This window comes from Homo sapiens, chromosome 22, assembly GCF_000001405.40.
Source record: "Homo sapiens chromosome 22, GRCh38.p14 Primary Assembly".
Classification (NCBI taxonomy): domain Eukaryota; kingdom Metazoa; phylum Chordata; class Mammalia; order Primates; family Hominidae; genus Homo; species Homo sapiens.
The window spans coordinates 29,205,861-29,223,389 of NC_000022.11; the positions used below are offsets into that span (position 1 = coordinate 29,205,861).

General features: G+C 56.1%; 1 protein-coding gene and 1 long non-coding RNA gene across 19 annotated transcripts in view, besides 9 other annotated features; both read left to right on the plus strand.

The window, feature by feature from the left end:
• Positions 36-17,529, plus strand: part of EMID1 (EMI domain containing 1) — a 53,702-nt gene continuing 36,208 nt past the window's right edge. For 17 of the 18 annotated variants that reach the window (XR_937808.4, XR_937810.4, XM_011529869.4 and 14 more), the window contains exons 1-3: positions 36-279; positions 9,066-9,179; positions 9,667-9,770. Coding sequence is in view for 15 of the 18 variants with exons in the window: in XM_011529869.4 (XP_011528171.1) it covers positions 179-279; positions 9,066-9,179; positions 9,667-9,770 (319 nt within the window). In the remaining 3 variants the exon portion in view is untranslated. Of the gene's footprint in view, positions 280-9,065; positions 9,180-9,666; positions 9,771-17,529 lie in introns of those variants that run through there. The other variant, XM_011529875.2, reaches the window with a different exon arrangement.
• Positions 131-220: a silencer, noted in NCBI's record as "silent region_13585". NCBI's record gives its function as "represses an Ori minimal core promoter by ATAC-STARR-seq in GM12878 lymphoblastoid cells {active_cell/tissue: GM12878}" and the evidence as "EXISTENCE:reporter gene assay evidence [ECO:0000049][PMID:35858748]".
• Positions 231-390: a silencer, noted in NCBI's record as "silent region_13586". NCBI's record gives its function as "represses an Ori minimal core promoter by ATAC-STARR-seq in GM12878 lymphoblastoid cells {active_cell/tissue: GM12878}" and the evidence as "EXISTENCE:reporter gene assay evidence [ECO:0000049][PMID:35858748]".
• Positions 411-470: a silencer, noted in NCBI's record as "silent region_13587". NCBI's record gives its function as "represses an Ori minimal core promoter by ATAC-STARR-seq in GM12878 lymphoblastoid cells {active_cell/tissue: GM12878}" and the evidence as "EXISTENCE:reporter gene assay evidence [ECO:0000049][PMID:35858748]".
• Positions 8,859-9,439: an enhancer, noted in NCBI's record as "H3K4me1 hESC enhancer chr22:29610708-29611288 (GRCh37/hg19 assembly coordinates)". NCBI's record gives its function as "activates a minimal SCP1, AML or CMV promoter by ChIP-STARR-seq in naive H9 embryonic stem cells {active_cell/tissue: H9 hESC(naive)}" and the evidence as "EXISTENCE:reporter gene assay evidence [ECO:0000049][PMID:30033119]".
• Positions 9,440-10,019: an enhancer, noted in NCBI's record as "H3K4me1 hESC enhancer chr22:29611289-29611868 (GRCh37/hg19 assembly coordinates)". NCBI's record gives its function as "activates a minimal SCP1, AML or CMV promoter by ChIP-STARR-seq in naive H9 embryonic stem cells {active_cell/tissue: H9 hESC(naive)}" and the evidence as "EXISTENCE:reporter gene assay evidence [ECO:0000049][PMID:30033119]".
• Positions 10,020-10,599: an enhancer, noted in NCBI's record as "H3K4me1 hESC enhancer chr22:29611869-29612448 (GRCh37/hg19 assembly coordinates)". NCBI's record gives its function as "activates a minimal SCP1, AML or CMV promoter by ChIP-STARR-seq in primed H9 embryonic stem cells {active_cell/tissue: H9 hESC(primed)}" and the evidence as "EXISTENCE:reporter gene assay evidence [ECO:0000049][PMID:30033119]".
• Positions 10,467-13,951, plus strand: LOC124905099 (uncharacterized). Its single transcript, XR_007068058.1, has 2 exons — positions 10,467-10,775; positions 13,103-13,951. It is a non-coding gene; the product is annotated as an uncharacterized LOC124905099 (long non-coding RNA).
• Positions 10,600-11,179: an enhancer, noted in NCBI's record as "H3K27ac-H3K4me1 hESC enhancer chr22:29612449-29613028 (GRCh37/hg19 assembly coordinates)". NCBI's record gives its function as "activates a minimal SCP1, AML or CMV promoter by ChIP-STARR-seq in primed H9 embryonic stem cells {active_cell/tissue: H9 hESC(primed)}" and the evidence as "EXISTENCE:reporter gene assay evidence [ECO:0000049][PMID:30033119]".
• Positions 11,760-12,339: an enhancer, noted in NCBI's record as "H3K4me1 hESC enhancer chr22:29613609-29614188 (GRCh37/hg19 assembly coordinates)". NCBI's record gives its function as "activates a minimal SCP1, AML or CMV promoter by ChIP-STARR-seq in primed H9 embryonic stem cells {active_cell/tissue: H9 hESC(primed)}" and the evidence as "EXISTENCE:reporter gene assay evidence [ECO:0000049][PMID:30033119]".
• Positions 12,340-12,919: an enhancer, noted in NCBI's record as "H3K4me1 hESC enhancer chr22:29614189-29614768 (GRCh37/hg19 assembly coordinates)". NCBI's record gives its function as "activates a minimal SCP1, AML or CMV promoter by ChIP-STARR-seq in primed H9 embryonic stem cells {active_cell/tissue: H9 hESC(primed)}" and the evidence as "EXISTENCE:reporter gene assay evidence [ECO:0000049][PMID:30033119]".

The window sequence follows — 17,529 nt, forward strand, 5'->3', positions numbered from 1 at the left end:
AGGCCGGGAGCGCGCGCCCCCGCCCCCGCCCGCCCGCCTCCTGCCCGCCCTCCGGCCGCGGAGCTGGAAACCGGGCTCCGCGCGTCCGGGGCGGCTGGCGGCGCGGGCAGGCAGGCGGGGAGGACAGGCTGGGGGCGGCGACCGCGAGGGGCCGCGCGCGGAGGGCGCCTGGTGCAGCATGGGCGGCCCGCGGGCTTGGGCGCTGCTCTGCCTCGGGCTCCTGCTCCCGGGAGGCGGCGCTGCGTGGAGCATCGGGGCAGCTCCGTTCTCCGGACGCAGGTAAGAGCTCCCGGCGCCTTTGCACCCCGCTGGCCGAGGGTCCCGGCGCGCACACGCCCCCACCTCCAGGAAGGGCTGGGATTGGAGGGCGATCCAGTCCCCAGCCCGGGTGAGGGCAGGGACACGGCCATCCCGCGGTCCGGCTGAGGCTCCCGCGAGTGCGGGGTCCCCTACTCCATGTGTCGGAGCTGGCTGCCTCCCCTACTCCCTCCCTTTCAACCCAGGAGCTCGAGAGGAGGGGGAAGGGGCGCAACGAGGGCGAAGCCCTGGCCCTTCTGTTCCCCTGTCCCTAGGGCCCCTCCCCCTGCACTTGGGAAAGGCCTATGACACCCCCTAGCCGACTCTTCTCGGACCCTCTCTCCCCTTTTCCCTGTTCCTGTTTTTTTGCTTTGTTTTGTTTTTTGTTTGTTTGTTTTGTACCCAGGCTATTTATCTCCCTCGGAGGAGGGACTGGGGTGGAGTCTCACAGCCCAGTGGGTCAGTGTCGGAGATACCCCAGGGACCTGGCATTTTGGACAGAGAAAAGAGGGAGCACAGTCTTCCTTCTGCTCTCCTAGCGGCGGGGAACCTCCTCCCTGCTGGCCTTTACGGAGGAGCTCCCAGAACCTGACATGGTGGGGCCCATTATTATATATAGTGTCCTCATCAATCCTTGAAGGACCGAATGAGGTAGGGAAAACTGTCCCCATTCAACGGTTAAGCAAACTGAGACCCTAGGGAATTGGCATCATCTTTTAGCCTCATGGGCTATTCACTGAAGAGCTAGGTTGCAAATCTGCCCTTCTATCCTTGATGACAGTGTTTGAACCTGTCCTGGCCTCTGTCCTGGCTGCAGCCCCAGCGAGGGTCCCCTCCTAAAGGCCAGCCGCCGTTGTCCAAGGCAGACAATGTGGAGTAGCCAGGCCTCTCCAGGCCTTTTCATCCCATTCAAAGGCCTGCGCGGCCCCCACCCCCTACGGCCTCAATTCTTTAATTCTTTTCAGAAATTCTCCTTTCCCAGTGGTCAGGGGCCAGCATGCCCCTGCTGGGCTAGCAAGAGCAGTTGACATGGGCAGGGCTGGAGGACGGAGGTGGTTGAAGCATCAGAGGCCAGAAGAGCAGTTGTCTGAGACAGGGGTGGACGTGTGGCAGATGTTACAGCCACCACCTATTGTGTGCAGACAACAGTTAGCCTGAGTCGGCTCCGTTACCTGCATTCATCAGCTCCAGAATCCTCCCAGCTGCTTGGAGGTATGCTCTTTATGATTCTGTTTCATAGAGGAGGAAGATGAGGCTCAGAGAGGGAACATGACCTGCCCAGAGCATGGAAGTGAGCCGCCAGGATCCCAGATGCTAAGAGGACAGAGACTATGAACTCAGAAATCCCACTGTTAGGCTCAGGATGATGGTGGCGACAGCTTAAGGCCCAGACCGCCCTGCAGCCAGTTCAAGGCAGGGCTTCCCAGCCTGGGCTCCTCACCTCCCAGGGTCTCCTGGGTGGGAACAGGATGATGGCTATAACCAGGTATCTGGTGGTCACTGGGGACTGTCACTCCATGTGTTGACAGAAGCCTATCACAGTAGCCTGAGCATCCCAAAAACCCTGTGGGCAACACTATTGCACCCATTGTACAGATACGGAGGCTGAGGCCTACAGAGGACAAGTGGCACCTCAGTCCAGACCAGTCGATTTCCAAATCCAGTGGCTTTTTCTCTCCAGCAGCCTTGCTGGAAGAGGGAAAGAGGTTGTCGGCTTGGGGGCACCAGGAAAGGTTTGCAGTCATGATTAGGAGTTAGGGGCTCCAGCCTTGGACAGAATGGAGACAGAATTCCTTGCTCTTACAGGCTTGATGTGTGACCTCAAGTGGGTCACTTCCTGGCCATGGGTCTCAGTTTTGCTCTCAGTTTCCTTCTTTCCTCGTGGGAAGGACCAGCACCGGGCCTCACCTGCAGTGGTTCCTGCTATCAATCATGTCACATGGGGGTAGGGACCTGGAGCTTGAGGAGTCTGTGGGCTACCAGAACCTCCACTTGTGGCCCCATCCCCACGTTGCTGGAGACAGCATGGGGGTGTCATGCCCTGTCAGCCTTCCTGCCACCCACACCCCAGCACCCCAGGCACCCCTTGGCAGCCAAGGGACCAGACGCAGAAAAGAGGCTTTGTCCTGGGGAGGGGGTGGCCTGGGAAGGCATCCAGGGGGCCGCCCCTTGCCCCAGGAAGGTGGTGACACTTGGAGACCCCCGGAACCAGGGTGCCCAAGGGCTATGCAGAGCTGCCTTGGCTTGCCCCTGCCCCTGGGGCTGCTTCCTGCCCCGCTGAGGTCCTTCTAAGCCTGGAGTCTGCTTCCTTTAACCACTCATCTCAGCGTTTCAGCTGAGGGTTCAAGCCTTCACCAGCCCAGATCTCTCGCCCCTGCAGCACCGGCTTCCTTCCGGCAAATCCTAGGATCAGGGAGAATGGAGGGCTCTAAAATGGAGGGGATCTGCCCCAGCCTCTGTCTAGGGGGCTGCAATCCCAGCTGATGCCCACAGGGGTGACCTGGGTAGGTGCTTTCTCTTGGAGCCTGTTTCCCCCTCTGTAAAATGCAGAACCTGATAATCCCTATTCCAAGGGGAAGACCTTGTGAAGAAGGTACTGTGCTGGTGTCCCCAATCCCCAGGGAAGCCCCTGGACCAAGCTGCTGGGTGTGGGGCCCATGTCTGGGCCTGAGCCCCTCAGTCCCGGAACAGGAATGAACAATAGCTGTTAGCGCTGTGCTAAGGGATTTGAGTGAAGCTTCCCCCGCTGGAGGAAATTCTGCTGTCCCCATTTGCAGATGGACAAAATGAGGTCCAGAGAGGGTCAGGGCCTTGTCCAAGGTCACCGATGTAGGAAGCAGCAGAGCCAGGACTGGAACTTCGCCCCTACTGCGGGGCTCTGGCTCTCATCATACCACCCCTGCCCGCCCGGTCCTTTCTTTCTTCTCCTTTTCATCACAGCCCTTGGCCCCGGGCCCGCTTGGCTGCCTCCTGCAATTAGCCCCTATCACTGTTCCGGATCGCAGCCCTGGGCCCTACAGAGACAAAGTCCCCTGGGCCCCTCGTGGCAGGGGGTGGAGTGTGGGTGTAGGTGGGGGGCCTTTGTGGGAGTGGCCGGTGCCAGGCTGAGCTGGTCTGGCCTGTTTCTCCCCTCCTGGAGGCCTCTGGGGGCCTGGAGGTGCTGAGTGGGCAGAAGTGTTGGGCCCAGGAGGGAAGTGCCGCCTCTTCCCAGCCCCTGCCCTCACCAACCCCACTGCCCAGCCTCATCCAGCTCTTGGGCAGCTTATCAATGACCACACCCCAGGGAAGGAAGCCCCCAGGGGCTGCAGGGATGGAGCACATGGGGATGGGTCCCTTCATCTGTGGAAACCTCGGGTCCCAGCTCCTCTGGCCGGAGCTGCTGCCTGTTCTCCATCATTCAGTCATTCAACAAACATCGCTGAGCGTCCTCAGGCTGAGCCCTACACAAACTTGGTCCCAGCTCATGCCCTCCTCCAGCACCTGCGTGAGTGAGTAAAGCCCAGGGCTATTGTGAGTGGCTAATGGGTGGTGCCCAACCCCTGCCTGGGCCTGAGGGCTGAGACCCAAAGGATGAATAAGAGTTGGCTGGAGCAAGAGGGAGGGGCTTTCCAGGCAGAGGGATCTTCATATGCTAAGATCAGAGGTGGGAGGAGGGGCTGCATGAGTGTGCAGGAGAGGTGAGCAGAATAAGAAGTGAAGGGCAGCGCTTGCAGGGCTATAGGGAGTCATGGTGGGCTGCGGACTCCACAGTGGGTGGTGGCAACATTAGGTCTGCACTTTAGAAAGAGCCTCCTGCTACCCCTGGAAGGTGGATAGAGGTGCAGGAGGGTGGCAGGGCCAGGCTGGGACCCTGTGGAGGAGCTCGGGCTGATGCTAGGAGTCCTGGGGCTGGGGTCCTCAAGGTGGGGGATGGGGTAATTATTAGTGATCCCCAGGTGGAGGGGGCAAGGGACTAAACCTGAACTCCACATGGCATGAGTGTCCTCTCCTGTCCAAAAGGTCTGGCTAGCCGGCCACCAGCTCCATGTCTCCTAAGGAGAGGATTCAAGCACAGTCCAGATTATGGCAACCAGGCAGGGACCCACATGGCAAATTTTTTTTTTTTTTTTTTTTGAGACGGAGTTTTGCTCCTGTTGCCCAGGCTGGAGTGCAATGGCGCGATCTTGGCTCACCGCAATCTCTGCCTCCTGGGTTTAAGCGATTCTCCTGCCTGGTATTACAGGCATGCACCACCATGCCTGGCTAATTTTGTATTTTTAGTAGAGATGGGGTTTCTCCATGTTGGTCAGGCTGGTCTCGAACTCCCGACCTCAGGTGATCCACCTGCCTCAGCCTCCCAAAGTGTTGCGATTACAGGCTTGAGCCACTGCGCCCGGCCAACAATTTTTTTTAAGAGACAAAGTGTCACTCTATTGCCCAGGCTGTAGTGCAGTGGCGTGAATATAGCTCATTACAGCCTCAAACTCCTGAGCTGAAACGATCCTCATCTCAGCCTCCCAAGTAGCTGTGACTACAGGCAAGCACCAATGGTAGAGATTTTAATTAAGGAAGAAGAAGGAAAAATACTGTTTTTTTTCTCTAGCTCCTCCCTGGTAAAAAGAAGGACAGCTCTGGCCATTGTGGACCATCACAGGCCCACCTCTCCCGGCCTAGTCTGGGGGCTGGGCATGTGAGGGCTGTTGTCCACGTGTGTGTGTGTGAGGGCAGATGGCTCTGTGCGTGCCTGTATAGATATGTGTGAGAAGATGGCCAACAGTACCCTGCTGGGCCTGCCTTCACCTGTTTGTGTACATGTGAGAAGTGTGTGTGTGTGTACACATGTGCCTGCATGTGCATGGATGTACATGAATGAGAGCACTGTGGGGCCGTGTGTGGACATGCCCAGAGATCACAGCTTCAGCCTATATGCGTCCATGCGAGAGGGCATGCGTGTGTGTGTGCATGTGCAGGTGTGTCAGTGTGTGTGCAAGTGTGAACGCATTTGCAGGGAGAAGGTTTGACTGTGACTGTGTGCCCCTCTGGGCCTGCTTTGGTCTGTCTATGTCCATGTGACAGAGCCGATGAGTGTGTGTATGTGAATGTGTGAGGGCACAGAGTCCTGTATCTGCAGGTATGGACTTGTGTGCAGGGAGGACGGTCATTTCTGTGATTAAGTGTCCTGCTGGATTTGCCTTAGCCTGTCTGTGTGCGTTTGTGTGCATGTATGGAGCTCTGTGTTTATGTGGATCTGTGTGTGCACACGGAGGCCCGTGTGTCCATGCGTTGTGTGTACATATGCCTATGTGTGTGTGCACGTGCTCACTGCAGTGCGTATTTGCCCTGTGTGCCTGTGTGTGCATGTGTGTGCGTGTATCTGTGTGTTTGTGTGGATCTGTGTGCATATGCATGAACATGTGTGTCCATGCATTGTGTGTACATATGCCTGTGTGTGTCTGTGTGTACGTGCTCACTGCCATGCATATTTGCTCCTGTGTGCCTGTGTGTGCATGTGTGTGCGTGCATTTGCGTGTGCAGGCACTGTGTGTTTGCGAGCATCTGCTCACTGGCATAGTGTATTCATTCTGTGTCCAGGGCCCCTTTCCTGTCTCCAGAGCTTCCGACTGTCCTCTGCCCAGATTGTCCTCTTCCTCCCTCCCTCCTTCACTCACGAAGCCCCTGGGCCAGCCTGGTGAGTGTCACGTAGGCTCCAAGGAGCCTCTGAACCCCCTTAACCTGTACACCAAGTTTTATGCGTATTTCTGGAGAGGAGCCACGATTCACCGCAATTTTCTAAAGGGGCTTATGCCCCCACTCTCCATATTCAACCCTAACAGGTTCAAAACCACACCTTTGGTTTTTTTTGTTTTGAGACAGAGTTTCGCTCTGCTGCCCAGGCTGGAGTGCAGTGGCACGATCTGGGCTCACTGCAACCTCTGCCTCCCGGGTTCAAACAATTCTCCTGCTTCAGCCTCCTAAGTAGCTGGGATTACAGGCGCACACCACCACGCCCAGCTAATTTTTGTATTTTTAGTAGAGACGAGGTTTTGCCTTGTTGCCCAGGCTGGTCTCAAACTCCTGATCTTCAAGTGATCCACCTGCCTTGGCCTGCCAACGTGCTGGGATTACAGGCGTAAGCCACTGCACCCGACCCTTTTTTTTAATTAAAAAAAATTTTTTTATAGAGATGGGGTTCTCACCGTGTTGCCCAGGCTGGTCTTGAACTCTTGGCCTCAAGCAATCCTCCTTGCCTCAGCCTCCAAAAGGGCTGAAATCTTCACCTACTCATTAGGAGAAACATTTCTAGCCTAGGGTTGAGAGTGCAAGCTCTGGAGCCAGAGGGACTTGAGTTCCAACCCTGACTGTGCCGCCTATCATGGGTGCCTGGGGCACGTCCTGGACCCCAGAGTCTCAGTCTTCCCATCTGTAATGTGGCTTTTTTTTTTTTGATACGGAGTCTCACTCTGTTGCCCAGGCTGGAATGCAATGGTGCGATCTCAGCTCACTGCCACCTCCGCCTCCCAGATTCAAGCAATTCTCCTGCCTCAGCCTCCTGAGTAGCTGGGATTACAGGCTCCCACCATCACACCCGGCTAATTTTTTGTATTTTTAGTAGAGACAGGGTTTCTCCATGTTGCCCAGGCTGGTCTCGAACTCCTGACCTCACGTGATCCACCCATCTCGGCCTGCCAAAGTGGTGGGATTACAGGCATGAGCCACTGTGCCCAGCCTGAAGTGGCTTTTTAATAAGAGTGTGAGAATTTAACTGAGCGAACACGTGGACGGCTCTGGGCACAGCTCCTGGCGTGCAGCAAGCATGATAAACATAGCTACTGTTCGTGTAGTAGACGGAGCAGATGGAAAGCCCTCCTTGCTCCCAGACATGGCAGTTTGAGAAAAGTGTCATTTTTTTCTCACTTTATATGCACATATCTGTACATGTGCACGCATATAGAAATAGTTGACGTTCTGTCTCTCTCTTAATGTAATAGAAATGCAATCACTGTATATCCATTGGTCTTTGTCTGCTTTTTTCCTCCCCGTAACTAGGTGTGATAGCTGGGTCTCAGGTCAGCACGCAGAGACCTCGGGCTTTGTCACAGCATCTGGTTTCCCATGTCCGGTGGCTCCATAGCTGTTTAGGCTGTTCCCAGTTTTGTGCCATTTCTGATGGTGCCATGGCAGGCACCTGTCACCTCTGCATGGGATGGCTGGCTGAAGGCTCTGTTGAGCTTCTCCTGCTTCATGGGCCAAACTGAACCATCCCTTCTCCCAGCCTTCCCACCTCCAGGGCTGTACCTAGGTTGTTTCCTCTTCCAGCACTGATTCTGGTGTGGCACAGAAAGATGAAGGGAATTCCACAGGGCCCTAAATTGAGTTAGTTGCCTGGTCCTGGCCCAGGAGTTTCTCCTTCTGGTGGTCTGGGGTGGGGGCAGGGCTGCAGCGAGTGGGGGCTGCACTGTGGTCGGCATGGGAGTCTCTGTGAAGGCCGGGACATTCCAGGTGCTCAGCAGCCCTCAGCCCTGCACAGGGTCACGGGCCCTGTGCTTTTTGCAGGGGTTGGGGAAGGAGGGATGGTTTCAGGTGACCCTTCTCAGCCTGGGTCCCCCACCCCTCCCAGACTTTCTTCCTGCCCTCAAGCCTGGGGTCAGCAGGTTCCCAGGCCGGGGCGTTTACAGAGCCACAGACCGTGGCTCAAGGAGATGAGGAGAAGACGGGAGCTGAGGCTCTGGGATGGCGTCAGAGGCTGGGCTAGGCCATCCACCTTGCTGGGTTCAAATCTGGCTTCTCCACGCACCAGCTGTGACATAAGCAGTTGTCTTCACCTCCCCAAGCCTCAGTTTCCCCTCTGTAAAAACAGGGTGGGGGTACCTTCCTCACCATCAGAGGATAGTGTAAATACCTTTAGCATATAATAAGTGCTCAATATGTGCAGTGCACTCCGATTATTAGTTGGTGTTTGGAGAACTCAGTCCTCTGGGCTTGGGGCATTGATTACACATCCCAGCCATTCCACGGAGGGGACATGGGAATGGGTGAGACAGGGCCTCTCCTCTTGCATGCTGGCGGAGGGGGCAGGCACAAATTGGCAGCTTAATTCAGCGTGACAGGTGTGCAGATGCTGCGGGAGCCAGGGCAGGGCACCATCAGAACTGCTCGGGTCAGGGTGGAGATGGGAAAGGATGGAGGGAATAGGCCATGTCACATCTGGGCTTTGAAGGTAGGAGGCGCCATGGGGAGAAGCGGAGGAAGGGTACTCCAGGCAGAGGGCCCAGCACCAGCAAAGGCCTGGGGCAGGTGTGGGTACAGGAGATCCTGAGGGTTGGGGAGTTGGGTAGGCAAGGCAAGGATGTAGGCAGGTTTCCATTCTGTGACACTGCCTCTAGGGAGGGACCGAGGGGCAGATGGAGAGGCCACTCACTGTAGTTGTCCAGGCAAGAGCCAGGCAGTGATGATGGCCTGGATGGGTCAAAGTTGGAGAGGAGAGAAGTTGGGGAGCGAGAGCTCAGGGGAAGATGGCCCGCTTCCATCTTTCCCCTGCCATTCATTCCTCAAGACCTACTGAGAACTCTCTGCACAGCCCCACCCCTAGGGCCATGACATTCACCCCTCAGCCACAGGGACTCCCCCCAGCCATTTGGGCCCAAATGACTTTGCAAGCTCAGGGCTTCTCGCTGCCTGGGGATTCAGGGCTCTTGAAGAGAACACGGACGTCCTCACCCATCCTCCTGGAGTCCCCAGCAGGGGACCCTGTGTGGTACCTGAGTTTCCTCTCTTTGGGTCTGTTTCAGGAACTGGTGCTCCTATGTGGTGACCCGCACCATCTCATGCCATGTGCAGAATGGCACCTACCTTCAGCGAGTGCTGCAGAACTGCCCCTGGCCCATGAGCTGTCCGGGGAGCAGGTAAATGAGGTGGAGAAGGAACTGATGGCATTCCAGGTGGAGGCACAGTTTGGGCAAAGGCCTGGTTGGGGGACTGCATGGGGAGTGTGGGGGAAGACTGGACCCCAGGGTGGGCGGAGCAAAGGTAGCATCAGCCGACACCATTCTCAGCCTATCCCCTGTGCTGTTGAAGCACCCTGGAGGGCTTCCTGAGGGATGGATACACCATTTGCCTGCATTCCTTTACTCAGTGAGTATTCACGCTGGGCTCAGGCCAGCCCAGCCTGCAGGGTCTTCTTGTCCAGCTGGTATCCAATCTCCAATCCCTGTGGCAAGGTGGTGGGGGGATGGAAGGGCTGAATCCCAAAATGCAGGAGAGAGCCTCCAAAGGGACCTGGAGGCAGCAGAGGATCCTGGAAGCTCTAGGTTTGTCCCCATGGGTGTCCAGGGCAGTGGGAGAGGTCATGGAGGACCCTGTCTCAGCTGGGCCACCTGGGGACTCTTTCAGCTACAGAACTGTGGTGAGACCCACATACAAGGTGATGTACAAGATAGTGACCGCCCGTGAGTGGAGGTGCTGCCCTGGGCACTCAGGAGTGAGCTGCGAGGAAGGTAGGACTGCCCGGCCGGCTCCCGGAGCCCTGCGACAGCAGGCCAGGTGCCTCCCTGCAGGTGCATGGAGCCGTGAACTATTAAGAGAGTCATGCACAGTACCATGCCTGCTGGGGCCAGCTGCACAGAGCCTGGCTCAGACACAGTCAGTGCTTGTTGTCCCCCCTGCCCCCCACGGTGACCGCTTGCCTCTTGGGAGACTCTCAGGACCCCCAGAAGAATTTTATATATGCTGCATAGCTCACATTTTAAGTCATGCTATCCTAAATCTTTCCTCCACACTCGGGGAAAACCCATCCAGACATTTCTGTATGACACGATAACAGACATTACAGAGAAGCAAAGAACCATTTTAGTCAGTTCATGGGTCAGAGAGGTAAGAATGGTTTTACCTATCCTGCAGATGAGGAAACCGAGGCTCAGGAAGGGGAGGGGCACACACCTCTGTCTGTCTGCCAGGCTGCACTCCCCGCCCCCCCACCCCTGGGCTCCAGGGATGGGAGGGCTCGGCTGGGCCCTTGTGTGCAGAGCATGTCCCAGGCTCAGGGACTTCTCTCACCCCACCTGGCTTCACTGTGTGTACCTCTGGGTGGCTCAGGGCTGAGCACCCTGCAGGGGCACAGAGGAGGCAGCCTGGGCCTCCCAGGAGCCTGGCCACACTCTCCCCTGCAGAACCCTCTCCTCTCCTCCAGGCACCTGCCCCTCTGCTGAGCAGCCCAGGCCTCTCCCATCCTCACTGCCTGGCTGAACCCATGAGCAGCAGATTTTTGGACACCAAGAGCTGTGTTTCCAAGCATGGCGCTAAAGAGGATGGGCTGGCCCAGAACCATCCTGAGAACCAGGCCCAGAGACAGCTCAAGGGACAGAAGCATTCAGGGCCCCCACAGCAGCACATGAACGTGAACATCAGTCTCAGGATATACCCCAATTCCGGAAACACAAATGTGCGAAAATGTAGCCTCTGACTCAAAGGAACATGGTGCTTCCAGAAGCCACGGCTCACAGGTGTTTCTTGGGAGATTTGCACACTTCACCTCCCGGGGACCCTCAACAGCCCAGTTCACAGATAGGGTGACTGAGGCCCAGTGAGGTGGAGTGGAGTGCCCAGAGGCACACGGCCATGGGGATGGGGTTCAGAACTCACCACGCAGTGGGGAGGGGTCTGGCAGGTTCTGACATGGGGTAGAGGAGTACCCAGTGAAGCCGGGAAGAAACCGGGTGGCTAGAGGGAGAGCTGAGACGCCCCATGCCAAACACCCCTGCGGAGAGGCAGCCACAAGGGCCAGTGTGGGAGGCTGGAGCGGGTGGACAGACGTTTGAAGGGGAGCCAGGAACAGCACCCTCTTGTCCCTGGTGGGAGGGAGAGGGGAAGGCAGGTGGGGCCGAGGGGCAGGAGAGCCAGCCAGGAGGGGCAGCTGCCAAGGAGACCACAGAGGAGCTGTGGAGGGGAGGGCCGAATCCCCAGGGCATGGGGGCCGCCTGGGCCCAGGCAGAGCCTCCCCAGACAAAGGCCATTCTGTCCCTGGCTCCCCTCCCAAGGGCAGACCTTCCTGGTCTCTGGGGCCTTCAAGGAGTTGGTGAGGGAGAGGACAGGTGGGGACAGCACCCATGCCCTTGAATCTAGCTGCTGGAGGCCGTGAGTCCAGGAGCCAGGCCAAGGGCTGGGGGCTCTGCTGATGCTAAGGCAGGGGCATGAGCCAGGCAATGGAGCCAGGCCAGCTCCCTCTGTGGGGCCTTCAGGTCCCAGCGTGGGTATGGGATATCTGAGGCTTCCTAGGCTGGGCCAGCTCTGCCACACACCAGCTGCATGGCCTTGGGCCGGGGACTTCCCGTGCTTGTGCAAGTCATTGTGCAAGGGCCCTGGGCTTGGGGGTGCTGCACTCCAGGCAGCATTCTTCTCATGCCCACTCGGAGGGAAAGGCACCATCACTAAAAGGCACCAAGCTGCTGTGTGTGCCTGCAGCAGCCCCGGCTCGTCCACATTCAGCCTCAGTGTCCTCACCCGGGAAATGGGCAGGATGATAAGAGTCTGCCTCCCTGGGTATTGCTAGGATGAAATGTTGGAGCCTATGGAGGAAAGGGAGGTGGGTGAGTGGATGCATCCACTATTCTAGAAAACTCTGCTGGGGTCCTAGGAATGGGGAGCAGAGAGGCATAGGGACATTGCCAGGGGACCCTGGTCTCTGCCCTTCCTCCCACAGTTGGTTTCAGGCTGGGCTCCCAAGCTGCTTCTCCTGCTGGTGCCCACTCTTGTCACCTGCCCAGTGCTGTCTCTTGACCCTCGAGCCATAGAGCTGCATCACCAGGGCCAACAGGACCCAGGGCAGCCTGGGGTGGGCCAAAGGAGGAGAGGGAACACCTGCCATTCTGGAATCCAGCCCTAAATCAGCTGCACTCTGCTGTGTGACTTGGGGCAAGTCACTTCTCCTCTCTGAACCTTGGCTTTATCTGGAAGTCACCCAGCATGAAGAAGTAGCACTCATGCTTGGCTCATGGTAGATGCTCCGCAAATGTCTTCCTCTCCCATCCTGCTCCCCCACCGCCTACCCCATGCTGGGGATTCCGTGGCGACCTGGCAGACACAGCCCTGCCTCCCGCCTCTGAGACCCCACTTCACAGTCAGCTGCTCAAGAAACGGACCTTGAGTCTCTGTGAGGCTGGTGGGCTCTAGTGAAGGACTTCACGGCACTGGGCCCTGGTTTTCTGCAGAATGGGGATGTTCACTTTGTGACGAATGAGGATTGTCTCATTTGGTGTCCATGGCAACCTGTGGAGAAGGGGCTAGAATGGGCTGCATTTTACAGATGGAGAAACTGAGGCTCAGAGAGGTGATGGGACTGGCCTGAGGTCACTCGGCAGGTGAGAGCCAGGATTGGGACCTGTCTGAGCAAGCTTCTGTGCCCCCAGGCCTCAGGAGGTGGGGAAGGGGTCACCTGGCTGCCTCTCATCAGAAACAATAGGGCTTATCAGAAACAATGGGTGAGGAAGAACCAAGGCCAGAATGCACCAAGTGGGCCAGGGAGGGGTGGGCGCAATGCCAGGGCCATGTCAGGAGGGCGGGCCGAGCCCCACAATCACCTTTTCTGGGCCTGGGCCTGACCCCTGAGTGCCTGGGCCAGTGGGCTCTGCTGACATTGGGGCTGCTGCAGTAAACCCCATGTCACTCTGCCTCTTGAGGCTTCCTGCAGACAGATCAGCCCCACTGTCCGGATGATGAAAGTGAAGCTCAGAGAGGGCGTGGGTCTCACATAAGGTCACACAGCAAGCAAGTATTGTCGCCAGGTTTCTCCCCAGGGTGCCGACCTGAGTTCTGTGGCATCCCCCTGCCCCAGATCCTCCTGCAATAATCAGGACAAGGAGAAAGAAAGCTGCCACCGTCCTCCGTGCTGGGCGCTGCAAGGTTTACCCCCTGCAGGAGCCATCAAGTCATGGTACAGAAGGCCCAGATGCAGAAACTGAGGCTCAGAGAGGGGAATGCCTTGTCCAGGGGAGCAGCCTGTGAGCTGAGGAGCCGAGCTCAAACCCGGTCAGTCTGACTGCAGTCAGGGGTCTTTCCCCTGCAGCAGTGCTGGCTGAGGATGTCCCCGGGAGTGTGTTCAGACAGCTGGGATGCTGTGAGGCTGGCAGAAGCCAGTCTCAGCCCCAGCTCCTCCTAGATAGAAAGATAGAGAGGCCGGGGCTCCCTCCCCTCCCCTCCCCATGGGCCCCCTGGAGCTGGGCTGCCTCTGCTTCCCCCTCATAGGTCCCATTGTCCCCAGCATACATATTCCTTCCCTGTCCATGGTTCCTCACAGCCCTTGTCTTCCAAGAAGAGGAACCAGAGAGGGGACACTTGCCCGAGGTCGACCACAAAATAGCCTAAGAACAGGCCAGGCACAGCAGCTCACACCTGTAATCCAAGCACTTTGGGAGGCCAAGGCAGGAGGATTGCTTGAGGCCAGAAGTTCAAGCCTAGCCTGGGCAACATAGCAAGACCCTATCTCAAAAAAAAAAGTTAAAAAATTAGCTGGGCATGGTGGTGCACACCTATAGTCCTGGTTACTCAGGAGGCTGAGGCAGGAGGGTTGCTTGAGCCCAGGAGTTCAAGTCTGCAGTGAGCTGTGATCCTGCCACTGCACTCCAGCTTAGGTGACAGAGCAAGATCCTGTCTCTAAAAATAAAATTTTAAAATAGCCTAAAAACAGACTGAGATTCTAGCCCAGGCCCTTCCTGTGCTCCTTGGTCCCTTCTACCATCCAGGGCTGGGCGCTCTCCACACTCATCTCTTTCATCTTAACCAGGTTCCAGGTATGGTGCTAAGTCTGAGCTTTACTTTGCAGATTCAGAATCCGAGGGCTAAACATTGCAAATCCACCTACATCCACCGCCCAGCCACCCCCACTCCTGGAAGTCCCAGCAACCCCCACCTCCTGCCAGCCCATCCTGCACGCCCAGCCAACATGGCTGCCTCCTCCACTCTCTCAGCCCCTGCCTGCATCCCCTGAACCTCACCCTCCTTCTGTTTGAACCCCCTGCCCACACTGGCTTTGTCTCCCATACACGGCCTTGGCAGTGGCCGGCAAGTCGCTGCTCTGCCTGCAACCCACTGGGTGCTCCCACCTGGCTAGGTTGACCCCCATCCTGCCACCATTACTCCCACATCCCCAGTGCCTGGCACGGGCCATGTATAAAGTGAGTGCACAGGAATTGAATAGGAACTTTGCCTACCCTGAGGAGGAGGCCAGGCCGGACATAGACTAAGCCTTCCTGGAGGCTCCTGATTGGGCTGGAGAGTTTTTGGAGCTCCCAGCCCCAGCTCCGACCCTAACCCCTGGCTCTGGTCACTGGAAGCAAATATTTACATTTGCAAAGTAAATTCCTTGCAGGAGACCTGGACTGGGGCTGGGAAGGCTGCCTCCCTATGGCCTGTGGTTACTAAACCGAGCAGAGCAGATCTCGGGGGTCGGTTGTGAACGAGGAAGCCCTTTGGCTCCTCTCCAGGGAGAGAATGTCATGAAGGTGGATCCCAGGGATACCCCCAGCTTTTCACACCCCGAATCCCCAACTTTTCACATCTCTAATCCCCAATTTAGGGCAAGATTGGAATCCCAGCCCCCCTCGTCCCACTGCAAGGACAGAGCGGAAGCCTCTCCTCTCTGGACCTCAGTGTTCTGTGTCATGAGGTGTCATGAGGGTCCTGAGAAGGGGCACAAAGCTTCTTAGCTCAGGCCTGGCACTGGGCAGAGGGAAGAAGAGCTGCTTATGGGGCCCAGGGCTAGAAACTACAGGCAACACTGGCCGTGTGGAGGTCAAGATGTGGAGGTCAAGACAGGGAGTGATGAGCTTCGAAGGGGCTTTGACACTGGGAGGTGTACTGGCCTGTTTGGGAAGGCTTCCTGGAGGAGGTGACATGGGTGCAGCAGCTGTAGAGATTAGGGGAGGGCATGGGGTGGGAACGTGTGTGTGTGTGTGTGTGTGTGTGTGTGTGTGTGTGTGTGTGTGTGTGTGTGTGTGTAGGGCACGTGAGGGCCTCCCAGATGGTGGGAAGTGGCCCACAGTCAGGCTCCCAGAGTGGAGCTGGGGTTTGTGGTCCTGGGACCAGCCTTCAGGGCCCCCCTGAGAGGACAAGGTTGAGGCTAGGGAGGAGCCCTTCAGTAGGAACCACCAGGCTGAGGTGAGGAGGGTCTCAGCTCATGGGGGCCTGTTTCAGGGCCTTTGACCAAACACCAATGGGAGGGATATGACATTTTGTTTTGTTTTATTTTGTTTTGTTCTGTGTTTTTGAGAAGGAGTCTTGCTCTGTCGCCCAGGCTGGAGTGCAGTGGCGCGATCTCGGCTCACTGCAAGCTCCGTCTCCTGGGTTCACGCCATTCTCCTGCCTCAGCCTCCCGCGTAGCTGGGACTACAGGCGTCTGCCACCACACCTGGCTAATTTTTTGTATTTTTAGTAGAGATGGGCTTTCACCATGTTAGCCAGGATGGTCTCGATCTCCTGACCTCATGATCTGCTCACCTCGGCCTCCCAAAGTGCTGGGATTACAGGAGTGAGCCACCACGCCCGGCCAGGATATGACATTTTGTCCAACAGCAGATCTCCCCACAACCTGTGGCTTCTTCCTTACTGGAATTTTGTGTGCTACAGGGTCGTTTTACAACCTGCTACATCCCTTAAAATGTTTCTGTCCATTTCTCAGAATTTTGGGGGAGTTTTTGGATAACTTTTTGTGAATCTTGAATCCAAAGCCAAAATTTTCTGGTCTTTTGAACAGTTTTGTTATTTCTTTAAACTCTTTTCTTTTTTTAATTTAAATTTGCAATTACTTTGAGCATTTGATGTCTATGCTGCTGGTCAGACCATGTTTTTATTTGTTTTCCTAATTCTTTCTGGTCCCTGGAGAAACGCTGAAAACAAACTGGTTGAAAAAGAATTTCCAACCACAAGTTTACAGATTAATAACTCAGGGACACTCTAGTGTGACATTAAAACATTTATGCTGATTTTATTATTTTTTTTAGATAGGGTCTCACTCTTTCAGTGCAGTGGCACAATCACAGCTCACTGCAACCTCGACCTTCCAAGTTCAAGCTATCCTCCCGTATCAGTCTCCCAAGTAGCTGGGACTACAGGCATGCGCCACCATACCCAGCTAATTTTTAAATTTTTTGTAGAGACAGAGTTTTGCCATGTTACCCAGGCTGGTGTCAAACTCCTGGGCTCAAGCAATCTGCCCACTTCAGCCTCCCAAAGTGCTAGGATTACAGGTGTGAGCCACTGCGCCTGGCCCATTTATGCTGACTTTTTTTTTTTTTTTTTTTGAGGAGTCTCACTTTGTCACCCAGGCTGGAGTGCAGTGGTGCAATTTCAGCTCACTGCAACCTCCGCTCCCAGGTTCAAGCGATTCTCCTGCCTCAGCCTCCCAAGTAGCTGGGATTACAGGCACGCATCGCCACCCCCAGCTAATTTTTGTATTTTTAGTAGAGACAGGGTTTTGCCATGTTGGCCAGGCCGGTCTCGGACTCCTGACCTCAGGTGATCCACCCTCCTCGGCTTCCCAAAGTGCTGGGATTACAGGCGTGAGCCACTGTGCCTGGCCTATGTTGACTTTCAAGACAGTTGTTTCTGCCTTATATTTGGTTTGCTTGCTCAAAATTTATTTTCAGTTGGTGATTCATGTATTCATCAACAAAAGTTTTATACATGGCCGGGCGCGATGGCTTATGCCTATAATCCCAGCACTTTGGGAGGCCAAGGCGGGTGGATCACGAGGTCGGGAGATGGAGACCATCCTGGCTAATACGGTGAAACCCCACCTCTACTAAAAATATCAAAAATTAGCTGGGCATTGTGGCACGCTCCTGTTGTCCCAACTACTCTGGAGGCTGAGGAAGGAGAATCGCTTGAACCCAGGAGGCGGAGGTTGCAGTGAGCCGAGATTGCACCACTGCACTCCAGTCTGGGTGACAGAGCGAGACTCCGTCTCAAAAAAAAAAGAAGTTTTATACATGAGGCCCATGAGGTCCTACTGGGTGCTGGGCACTTTTGTAGGCCAAGCACAAAACAGACAAGGTCCCTGCCCTAGTGGGGCTGATGTTCCAGCCAGGAGGCCAGATGACAGGCAGTGGCCTGGGAAACTGGAGCAGTTAATAACACGCTAGAAGGTAGATAATGCAATGGGAAAAAAAAGAAAACAACAGCAGAGTAGAGGGGAGGGCAGAAGCAGGTGGGGGGAGCAGCCGAAGCTTCATCACAGAGGAAACTCAAATATCCCCAGGTTGCAAG